This window comes from Homo sapiens, chromosome 14 (assembly GCF_000001405.40).
Source record: "Homo sapiens chromosome 14, GRCh38.p14 Primary Assembly".
NCBI classification, from domain to species: Eukaryota; Metazoa; Chordata; class Mammalia; order Primates; family Hominidae; genus Homo; species Homo sapiens.
In genome coordinates, this window is record NC_000014.9 from 94441388 (window position 1) to 94453183 (window position 11796).

An 11796-nucleotide genomic window follows, 5' to 3' on the forward strand; every position below is an offset into this window, starting at 1 on the left:
CTCACACTCACTCCACGGGGACCCAAAGCCTCCAGCCTTTTATCTCTGAACACCTCTCTAGCACTACCTTCCACCATGACCCTACCTGAACTTTCCATGGCTGCAAAGCTGGTTTTCTCTCATTTTATTGGGGCATACCTTTTCCTCTCTTTACCCATTGCTTTTGCCGATCGCATCTCTCCCCTGCCCTCTCCCAGACTATCCTACCCTTTTCTCTTTATTTAAAGCTTACCTGGTCTTCAGGATCTGAGCCTCACCTCCTTGGAGTAGGGTCAGGGGTTTCCACCACTGTAGCACTTTCTGGGATGGCTCCTTCCTAGACATGCACCACCTATATCCTACCCTGCTGCGTGTCTGGGCACGGAGTTCATTGTAGTGATGGGTATTGTCATCCAAGTGGTACACACATGCAGCTGGGCATCTCTTTCTGCTTCCCCACTACTTTCAAATGAATGCCTCTTGGAGAGGCACACATGGAAGAGTAGCCTTTCGATCTCTAATGGAGGCTGCATCGCAATTCAATATGGCCCTCAATTCACCCCACTGACCCTGCCCTATGTCCATCATCCCTCCCGGCCATGTTTGCCTTCCTGCTTTCTTTGGTCTTCGTGTTGCCCTGGGCTTTGACACGCTGTTCTTGCTGCTTGAACTTGACCTCCCTCCAGGTTGACCCGTGATTACGCCGGCCCATCTGCACACCTGCTTTTCTACATGGGCTGTAATTTGGAGCCCTGACACAGGTCCAACCTCCTCTTGAGGGGATCTAGCCCCTGATGTCTGGGCAATGACATTTTAGGACAACCTCTCTTGTCTGTACAGCCCATATTGGCCACTGTGAAGGGAAAGACTGGCTTACTCCTGCTGATGCCCCCTGTGTTTTTCACTATGACCCTTACCCAAAGGATGCTCAACAAATATCTACAATGGTGGCAGCAGCGGTGGACATCTCCTGGGAGGCTGTAACATGAGGGTCGTTCTCATCTTCAACTTTCTAAGCACAACTAACACCAGATATGGGACAATTGTGAATGAGTGGCTAGAAGCTGTTCCTCCCTTGTAAGGATTGCTCCTTAGTGTTCACAGAACCCAAGGTCAACTTTATTAGAATCTTGGCACACTGATTAACTGAACCACATAGCAGCCCCAGGATGCAGGCTGGTTCTGGCCTATCTGTTTGGTCCAGGATGAGATAAGATAACTCCTGGCCTCCCACCATGGTTACCCTGCAACTGGGTTGACAACTTTTCCCAGGAAGAGTAAGCTCTGGGTGGTGACCTCCCAAAGGAGCAAGAGGAAAGGCCTGTTGAAGTGGGCATGTGGGTCTGACATGGTGTTCAGAGATGGGGGCTGGGAGAGGAGGCCTGAAGCAGCCCCGGCCTCGGTCCCCTTCTCACTCATGTCCACCATCGCCTTGTGTGACACCTAGAGGACAAGAGGAGATGAAGACAGCATCAGTTTGGGGGCCTTCAAGGGGAAGACACTGTATTCCTGCCATGAAGAATAGAAGGGACCTAAGGAAGGGGAGGTAGAGAAGGAAAAGCCCATGAAGAGATGCCTTAAAGACTGTGGTATTAAATAGTCTGCACAGGACAAAGAACAAGGAACTTGACTTTTAAATGTCCCACATGCCAAAGGAGAAACCTCCTACCTACCCCCACCTGCCCACAAACATCCATGTTCACCACTTTACCTTGGAGATGGTTTTGTTGAGCTGCCCAGTGACTCCTGAGAAGTCAGCTTCTAAGTTGAGTATGTTGGTGAGACCAATTTGGGGAAGTATGTCTTCCAGGTTATATGTTCCAGAAATTGAAAACCTTGGCAAGTGCAAATCCAACAGACTGGAGAGAGAAACAGACAGAGAAATGGTGCTCTCTTGTTAATATGTGCCACTCCTGCTCTGTCTGTCGGCAGCCTGAGCCATGGGAGAGAGGCATTTCCCAGCGTGAGAAGCAACCAGTCTTCCCATGACACTGTTCACTATGGCGGACCATGCCACTACCCATACCCACAGCTCCCTTCTCTTTGGACCTCCTGGAATATCTTGTGGCTGGATCTGAGAGGACTCCAGGCACAGCTACCTGTCTTTGTCATCTTCATCACATTTATAGAGGGCTTTCTAGGTGTCAGATATTGGCTATGTTTTTTCAAGGCTGAACTGATGGAATCCAAATCATGACCACATAAGGTAAATACTGTCAACATCTTCCCACTTCCGTATCTGATGCATCAGCAAGTTCTGTTGGCTCAGCTTCTGAACTAGGTCCTAAATCCACCTCCTGGCATCCCCTAATACAAGCAGCCATTGTCTCTCACCCATCTCCACTTCAGGTTCCTCTAGTGTTAAATGGCATGGTGATGCCCCCTCCTTGGGGCTGTTGTGAGGATCTGATGGGAGATCATGTGTGTTGGGCATAGGGCACAAATGAACTCCTGCTTCTGCGTTTGGAGCATCTTTACCATCTGATTGCCACATTTCCCTGGGTTAAGTTCAGAAATTTCTTTGGATCCACAGCAAATCTGCCCTTTCTCTCTGGGGTTATTCTTCTTTATAATTATGGTTTGACAGCTACCCAGGCACCTGAAAGCATGACTAGTTCATAACCAACTTGAACACTTCTGCCTCAGAAAATCGAATTCAGGTTAGAGAATCGTGGCTGGTTTGACTCCTGGGCAATATGAGGGTCTGGATGCCTAATTGAAGTAGGAGGACATCTAGGGCTATTTGACAAGTTTCCCATAGGCAGCACTTGGGTGGGAAGCAAGACCCGCGCCAGTTGGCTGGGGGGTGGAATAGAGTCTAGTGGGGCAGGGGTCTGACAGAGAGCCCAAAACACAGTGGATGTTTAACAACTGTGAATGAATACATACACGAATGGTGTGCCAGGAAGTGCAGTTCCCCTTGGCAAGCTAACCTGCCTCACATCTGAATGGAGTGAAACATGGCAGAGTCTGAAGTTCTTATATCTAAAAGCCCCTAAAAATGGATACTAAGATATTGTAACTCTCTGGCACAAGGAATATCTGAGATTTAGAGGAGTAACTTGGGTCAGTTTTGCTTTTAGAATGTCAAAGTGGGAAGAAGTCAAACCAAACCCTCCCTGAGGGAAAATCTACTGGTCTAGAAGAGTCTATGGCACTCCCTTCTGTGATGGGGGCAAGGAGAAGACTCACCCCAAAGGAGCCAGGGACTATGGGGCTGAAATTAGCAACTGACTAGAGCCGTGGAGCTTCATGGACAACAGGAATAATCTCTTAAATCCTGGCCTCTCCCCTTGGCCCGTGCCTCTTATTTGGTGTTTTAATCTCTGCCCAAACACAAAATGCCTTCTCTATCCCTGGTACCTCAGTGTGAATGGGGTGCTGAGAGAAGTCACTTTTGGATATGTGGGGTGGCTAGTGCCTCCCAGGTTGTGGTGGATTCAAGATGACCGTCAAAAGGTGGCATCTATGCACCCTCCCCTTGAATCTGGGTGGGCTCTGCACCACCCAGCCATTGGCTCTCCAACCACCCATTGGCTCTGCCACCAATACAATGTGGCAGAAGTGCCACTGTGCTGATTTCCGGGCCTAGGCCTTACCAGACTGGTAGCTTTCATTTCCTGCCTTTGAAATATTCTGTCTTGGAGACCCTAGCTGCCATATACCAGTATTAACTATGCTGATCTGCTGAACCTGAGCTAGCCTCATGGAGACACTACATGCAGAGAGAGATGCCTGCCAGCCTTAATCTCTTCCAGCCAGCCCAGCACAGGCACCAGACACATAAGTGAAGAGAGTTCAGTGGCTTCAGCTCCAGCTGCCACCTACTCCAACACATGAAAACTGCCCAGCTGAGCCCAGTTAACCCATAGAACCAAGGAAGTGATTGTCTTAAGTCATTCGGTTTTGGGGTGGCTTGTTATGCAGCAAGCAGTAAGTAGAACTAAGTACCAGATTTCATCTCAGAGTACCCCATAAAAGAAGATGCACCCCCAAGAAGGTATTAGCTGGTGAAGGGGGTCTAGGGAAACTAGAAAAAGCTGAAGTTGCTGTGATAAAACTACAAACCATAAAGCAAGTGAGATGGGAAATAGTTTAGAGATCACATAAAACAGGAACTTTAATGTTTACAATGTTCTTAATATTTAATTTTTTAAACATGTTTTAATTAAAATAGAAGCACCCTTTAACAATATAATGATAATAATAATTTTTTATTAGAGATAGGATCTAGCTTTGTTGCCCAGACTGGAGTGCAGTGGCACAATCATAGCTCACTGTAACCTCAAATTCCTGGGCTCAGGTGATCCTCTTTCCTCATCCTCCCATGTAGTTGGGACTATAGGCATGCATCAACATGTCCAGCTATATATGTTTTTTTTTCATTTTGCATAGAGGCAGGGTCTTGCTATGTTGCCCAAGCTAGTCTCAAACTCCTGGCCTCAAGTAATCCTCTCACCTTGGCCTCCCAAAGCACTGGGATTGTAGGTCTGAGCTGCTGCACCCAGCCATGATTATTTTTCACTGTCTCTGATCTGATTTTTTTTGCTGTACTTAACCACCTTCTGTTCCTTCTGTTAGTGAATTGTTATGGGAGGGTGTGGTGGGGAGAGAGGAAAGCAAGAGGAAAGGAGATGGGGATCAGACAGACACCAGGAAAGTATAATAACAGTCAATGCCTGGTGAGCACTTCTTATGCTCCACGTACCAGTCTAAGTTCTACATTCTCTATGGGTAGAAACTCAATGAATCTACTGAGCAACCCAATGAGGCAGGTATCATGTTCTTAGTTTTACAGTAGAGGCCCAAAAAAGGTGAGAAAATTGCCAAGATCACACAGTTAGTAAAGGACAAGATGGTGAGCCTAATCGAGATGGATGTTGGGCTTTTGCAGCTGGAGTTGATCAAGACCTGCTGGGGTTCTTGAGCAAGGTCAGCCAGCATCCTTCTGCTGTGACACTTACCTGGGCAGGAGCAATTGGCCCCATTTTCTCAGGGTCTGTGGCTGCAGAGCAGCCTCCACCTGCTTCATTTTCCCCGGGTCAGGGAGGACCAGCAGCGCCAAGGCATTTCCTCTGTATTCTATCTGGAGGACGGTGCAAGCCAAATCCTGGTCATAGAGGAATCTGTGCATTTCCTTTTGGTGCATCATGGGGACCTGGAGAGAAGTCCTCTCATCCACAAAGAAACTTTCCTGCTTCTGGGTCTGGTAGCGACTGAAAGGGTGCTTCCACTTGGCTTAGGACACAAAACCCATAAGGCCATGAGAACTCTTTTCAAGAGAGCAACTCTGGGTAGACACACACAAAACCACAGTTCCTCTTGGCTATGCAAGTATGTGGCAAAAAATGTGGAATGGTTACAGAGCCAGGAGACCAGAATTTAGGCCTGGCTCAGTCTCTAGGACAAGTCACCAGTGTTTGAGCACTAACAGCCTACGATTTTGTTCCATTTCAGAGGAACTTAGCTTCTAACAAGCCAAAAGGTATTTTTCCATCTACTAAGCACCTTCCATGTGTTAGACATTATCTCTTTAAATTGTCATAAAAATTAATAAGAAATAAGTATTATTCCCATATCAGGGATGATCAAACTGAGTCTTTGTGAATTTATTTAAACATACTAATTTGCAGAGCTGGGATGACTGACTGAGCAGCTCAGATTGCTTGCAAACACTGAATTAATCCTTCTCAACCAAACTGCCTCTAGACAACAACCTTCTACAGAGACGCTCAAGAGCTCCTTCCTTCACTCACCCACTCCAACTCCCTAATCTTCAAACTGAAAAAGGAAAAAGAATTCAATTAATAAAATGTCATGCATTAGGCAAAAGCCCATTAAGATGTAGTTAGAAACGCAGAATTTTGGGGTCATGGTTACATTCACACATGTAGTATCTTCTCTCTTACTTCTTATAAATCTGTCCCCACAAACACCTCTTGCAAGCACTCTGGTCTTGATAACAGGAGAACTGGGTCATCCTGTCCTACATACCCACACCCAATCAATGACCAAGTATTGCTGATTCTACCTCCAAAACCACAACTTTATTCAAGGCCACCGTGCTACTTACTTTGGACCACTATGAAAACCTCCCAACTTGTCTCTCCTCTCTCACCCTTTCTCCCTTCCAAACCACCTTCCAAATTGTAGCCAGTTTGAGCTTCCTAAAACATATGTAATCCTGTCACTTCACATTTAAAAGTCTTCGGCAATTCTAAGGTTCCCTGAATAAAGCTGGGAGCCCTCAACCTGGCCTTGTTTCCCTCTGCATTGCAACTCTTGGTTTCTTCCTATTATTCTGCTATTGTGTTTGATGTTCTATCCCAACTAAATTTGTTTCAGTTCTTTGAAAATGCAATGATATCTCTTTTCCCTGGACCTTTAGATATGCTAGTTTTTTTCAACCTGAACCCTCTTTGCCCCACCTCTCCCAAGCTTCTTCACCTGAGTGGATACTACTCACTCTCATGTCTTAGCTTGGGTGGCTGTTTTACCAGGAAGCTTCTCAAGTCTGGATGGGTGTCTCTTTTGGGAACTCTGTGGCACCCAATGCCTATGCAAGGACAGCATCACCATCCCACTGAGTTATTTTCTGCACTTATTTCCAACCCACATGGACTGTGGCTACGCAAGGGTGGGAAAGCTCTATCTTATTCATAGATTTCCCCAAGTGGTTAGCAAAGAACCTATTAGCTGGCTCTCTGCTGTAAGAGCATTTACTTGCAGAGGCAGTGGCAATAATTCTGTCAGAGCAAGCCTCACCTTTGAAGAAGATGTAATTGGCAAGAACCATGAACGTGTCCTGGCTGAACTCCGGGAGGCAGTCCACGACTTGCCCGTATGTTTGCCTTCTCAAATAGTCATTAATCTGCCTCCCAGTTGTAACAGAATCTGTGAAGTTGGCAGAAAAAGCAAAAGCTCCATAAAGCTCCTTGATGCTGTCCAAATAGTGCTGCCGAGGCTTTAGTCGCTTGTCTAGGAACAGGGAGTTTCCTACTTTTAGTTCGAGTTTGGGGCTGGGCAGGGCAAGGGTGTGGAGGAGGCTCCGGAAGCCCTGGTGGATGTCGGCTTCAGGGGTTTCTGTGAGGTTGAATCCCAGGCCCTCCAGGATCAGAGCTGAGGTGTTAGCTTGGGCCCCAAGAGAGAGCAGGGCCAGGGTGGTGGAGATGCTCACTGGCGAGAAGAAGATGTTTCCGGGGGCGTCTGCTGCCAGCTCTTTATACAAACGCAAAGCAAAATTGGTAATGGTGGGTGTGATTCTGTGGTAGGCGGGGGCTGGCTCTGAGAGCTGATGCCTGGGGGGTTGAGGCCCCTGCAGACTTTTATCTCCATGGGCAAGAAGGGGCTGACAGTGGACAGAGGCCAGGATCCCTGTTCCCAGTAGCCAAAGCCAAGCTGGACCCATTCTCTGAAAACAAGAGGGTGAACATGTCACTTTTCTCCATAAATAATGTCATGATTCTCTATTGCTCATACCACAAATCCCACCTTCACAATGTGCCCCACAGGGCTGCCATGAGGGGCACTGAAGAAGACAAGGCTGTGGATGATTAGGATTCTGGACACTTTCCTCCGAGGCTTCAGTGAAGGTAGCAACCCTTTATCTGCTTTACATATAGTAGGTTTCTAACATTTTGTTGAGTAAAAGTCTCTGGACTATAAAACAATAGCAATAACAACAACAACAATGGCAACTCCTGGCCAGGCATGTTGGCTCACACCTATAATCTCAGCAGTTTGGGAGGCTGAGGTGGGAGGATCGCTTGAGCCCAGGAGTTTGAGACCAGGCTGGGCAACATAGGGAGACCCCCTCTACAAAATGTTTTTAAAAATTAGCTGGGTGTGGTGGCATGTTCCTGTAGTCGCTGAGGTGGGAGAATCGCTTGGGCCTGGGGGGTCTAGGCTGCAGTGAGCTGTGATTGTACCACTGCACTCCAGCCTGGATGACAGAGTGAGAACCTGTTTTAAAAACAACCACCACCACAACAGCAAAACAACTTCCATAGTCTAGCCTCCCTCCCTCTTTCTTTCTTTCTATTCTTTCTTTCTTTCTTTCTTTCTTTCTTTCTTTCTTTCTTTCTTTCTTTCTTTCTTTCTTTCTTTCTTTCTTTCTGTCTGTCTGTCTTTCTTTCTCTTTCTTTTTCTTTCTTTCTTTCTTTTTCTTTCTTTCTTTCTCTTTCTCTTTCTTTCTTTCTTTCCTTCCTTCCTTCCTTCCTTCCCTCCTTCTTCCTTCCTTCCCTTTTCTTTCTTCTCTCCAGTCATTCTTTCAATCATTCATTAACTTTCAAGTATCTGCCTGGTCCAAGAGGTAGCTAGGTCCTCAGTATTTAGTGGGGAAAGAAGTAAACAAAATTTCAGATTTCCTAGAGTTAAGGGTTTAATTGACACTAGCTTAGGTGACACTCAATAGCTATATATGTGATGACAAATTGAGAAGAACATGCTTGGAGCAAATGTCCTGGCCACACTGCCAGTGATATTAGGCCTCCCTCACATCCAGCATGGCTATTGACTATGATCCTGCCCATTGGAAAGGAAAGGATGATGTGCAAAGCCTCGGTCAGGCCCCAAGAGAAAGAAGAGTGCCCTCCCCCTTTCCAGTCGTTCATTAGCTGGAGTGGCGATGTGAGGATCGGCCATCTGGATGTGTGGATGAAGACAGCCCAGGAGTGGGGAGCAAAGTAGCAGGACTGATGGAGCCTAGAGGAGCGATGAGAGAGAGCAACTCTGTCTCCATGTCTCTGTCCAGCCTCTGATATCTGGGATGCCTCTTGTCACAAGCAGAGGCTGAAACCTCTCTATTTTTTTTATTGCCTCAGGGCTGTGGGGATGATGTCTGTTACGTGCTGAATTGTACCTGCCCGAAATTCATATGCTGAAGTCTAGACACCTAGTATCTCCAGATATGATCTTGTTTGGAAATAGGGTCATTGGAGATGTAATCAGTTAAGATGAGGTCATTAGAGCAGGCTCCTAATCCAATATGACTGATGTCCTTACAAGAAGGAGCAATTTGGACACAGACAACACACAGGGAGAATGCCATGTGAAGATGAAGGCAGAGATCAGGGTGATGCTTCTACAAGCCGAGGAAAGCGAAAGATGGCCAGCAAACTAGGAGAGAGGCAAAGCTAGGAAAGGAGCCTGGAGCAGATTCTCCTTCACAGCCTCAGAAGGCACCAACCCTGTCAACCCCTTGATCTTGGACTTCTAACCTCCAGAACTGTGAGTCAAAAATTTCTGTTGTTTAAGCTGCCTGGCATGTAGTATTTATTAAGATAGCCCTTGCAAACTAATGTGATATCTCTTGTGCTTTATTTTAAGTTACAAAATGTGCCAGAAGAGCCTTTATTCCACTTCCAGGGATCAAAGTGGTACAGGAGCAGGAAGACCCCTTGTTTTAGGGCTGGGAATGCAGCCTGAGCTGGAGGGGGAACTGCAGTGCAAACAGGGTTGTCTCTACTCACCCTGCCCAATGTTCCATGCTCTCCTTTCCCTTTCAGTCCCATCCCCCGACCCTACACCCATCTTCAGGTTCTTGCAGAAGACTCATGACCACATTGCTACTGGGACCCTCCCAAATCTTGATTTTCTCAGTAAGGAAGGCAGCCTTCTCTTCTCCCTTCAAATCCAACTCTTCCACCGTTCCATTCATTGCGCAGCAGCTGTGCACTGCTGACCACCTCTATCACTCCTCATCAGTTTGTCCTGATAACATTTGTGTCTTAACTGGCACCTTTAATAATTTTTTGCCTAAACCAATGACTTCTGGATCAATTGCAAATGCTGCGACAGTGAAAGAGAGATTATATTTTTGCAAATGGGTTTGTAGCCCCTGGTGCCCTAAGTAGCCTGCCAAACGACAAAGGCCAGGTGTCAGGAGGGACGAATGTGGTCTCATTATCTGCTATGTTGAAATGCGTTTGCTGGTCAAAGTACTGTGGGCACGCCCCCAAGGCTACGTCCTCCCTTTCTCCAGCACAGTGTGGGTTCACTTAATGACAGCCCCAGTGAACTCCCAATGTGGGTTCACTTAATGACAGCTTCCATACACTTCAGATTTTCTTTTGATCGAAAATTTGGAAGATGCAAATCAATTTAAAAATTGTTCTACCCCTGGGTAAAATGAAGTGCCTGTAATGAAACTATTTCTGGTTTATTCTTTTTATCCCATTGAACTCAGCACCATTTTCTACTCCACTGCACCCCAGGGACTCCCTGACTTGCAAATGACCTATTTCCCAAAGGGGATTCAATTGTAAATGAGGGGACCTTGGAATCAAGGCTGTGCAGTAACTCACTGCCTCATACTGTGCAAAAGCAGCTGTCTGAAACTCAGTGTCTCCCTTTGCAAAATGCAAATGATATTGCCCACCTCCTGGGTGTGGGGCCATTTCGGGATTATATGACAGTCAAAGTACAAAGCTCCAGGCATGCCGAAAGTACTCAATGGCAGTTTTTTTCCCTTTCTATCAAGCCTGGGGTAATGATGCCCAATTCATTTCTTAATTCCTCTTCCAGAAAGATCCCAGAGGAAAATTAAGAACTATATTCGTGAAGTATAATATTCTCACTTATTAAGGGTTTATGAAGTGATAGGATATTACATGCATTGTAACACTGGCTCCTGACAAAGGCAGGGGGAGGGCTGTGTGTAAAGGAGATAGAGGTGACATTTTGGATCAGCTCAATGCCTGGTGGAGGGATGCTGCTGGAGTTTAGTTGGGGAACAGCTGGGCTCCCGAAAGCTCTTGAAGCACCCAGAATAGTCACATTCAATGAAGAGTGGTCCTGCCCAAATACCGGTAGTGCCCTTGTTGAGAAACACTTGCTTTGTCTTATTTAATTTAATCCTTATGAGAACCTCAAAGCACAGGGATTATTAGCCCTACTGTACACAGGGAATGACTGATGCAGGGTTAGGACAAGCCGCCTGGTGAGAGCAGGAGCAAGACTCAGATTCCAGACCAGAGCTCCTAAGCACCCTTTTCACAGGACAGCTTCTAGTAAATTTGCTGCAGCATCATTGTCATTGTGCTTTGGGTTGTATTGTTTCATTTTCTTGTCTAACTGGCAGGAATATTTGGGATTCTTCTCTCAAAATTCTTGAAGTTTTCCATAAAAGGAGATTGAAAACCTGAAGTCTCTCCTTTAAGACTCAGAGGGAGTACATGGTTGCATTTCTTCTTCAGGGACTTACTTCTCCCATCCTTACCATCAAAGCCAGGAACACACACACACACACACACACACACACACACACACACACACACACACACAGAGACAGAGAGAGAGAGAGAGAAGGGAGTGAGGCAGTTTCTGCCCCTGCCCTCATTTTGGGCACAGGCAAAGTACTTACAGAGCAAAGGCACTGAGCAGGGGCCCAGGTCTTCAGCACTGCATCACCTCTACCCACAGGAAAATGGTGTTTGAAGATGACAGCAACCTGGTCAATATTTGTCAGGTCAATTCTGGGAACTGGTATGAAGACAATGCACAGCAAACAGGAAGGGCTCTTTTTTTTCAAAGTATCTGCCCTGACTGCCTGTCCCACAAACAAATGGTGGATTGTGACTTAAGCCCAGGCTCGCTTTGAGAATATTCTGATGCTGGCAGCAGGTGGTGGTGTGGTTGTGGCTGTTGCCTGTGTCTGTGGTTGTATGATCCAGGCTGTATTCTTTTTTTTTCTAACTTTTTTATTTCCATAGGTTTTGGGGGAACAGGTGGTATTTGGTTACATGAGTAAGTTCCTTAGTGGTAATTTGCAAGATTTTGATGCACTCATCACCCAAGCAGTATACACTGAACCCAATA

At 46.4% G+C, this 11796-nt stretch overlaps 1 protein-coding gene across 2 annotated transcripts, besides 1 other annotated feature; it reads right to left on the bottom strand.

The window, feature by feature from the left end:
- Nucleotides 1-1076: 1076 nt before the first annotated feature.
- SERPINA11 (serpin family A member 11) lies at nucleotides 1077-11413 on the bottom strand. 2 transcript variants are annotated; one of them, NM_001429948.1, is made up of 5 exons: nucleotides 11342-11413; nucleotides 6745-6873; nucleotides 4944-5217; nucleotides 1691-1838; nucleotides 1077-1422 (listed from the first exon to the last, which is right to left on the bottom strand). In NM_001429948.1, exons 2-5 carry the CDS (start codon nucleotides 6773-6775, stop codon nucleotides 1219-1221), a joined length of 657 nt encoding a protein of 218 aa, NP_001416877.1. In that variant the 5' UTR covers nucleotides 6776-6873; nucleotides 11342-11413; the 3' UTR covers nucleotides 1077-1218. The 2 variants fall into 2 exon arrangements, with proteins under 2 accessions (NP_001416877.1, NP_001073920.1); NM_001080451.2 differs by having other exon boundaries at nucleotides 6745-7390.
- Nucleotides 9691-10367: an enhancer, noted in NCBI's record as "NANOG-H3K27ac-H3K4me1 hESC enhancer chr14:94917415-94918091 (GRCh37/hg19 assembly coordinates)". NCBI's record gives its function as "activates a minimal SCP1, AML or CMV promoter by ChIP-STARR-seq in primed H9 embryonic stem cells {active_cell/tissue: H9 hESC(primed)}" and the evidence as "EXISTENCE:reporter gene assay evidence [ECO:0000049][PMID:30033119]".
- Nucleotides 11414-11796: the final 383 nt, after the last annotated feature.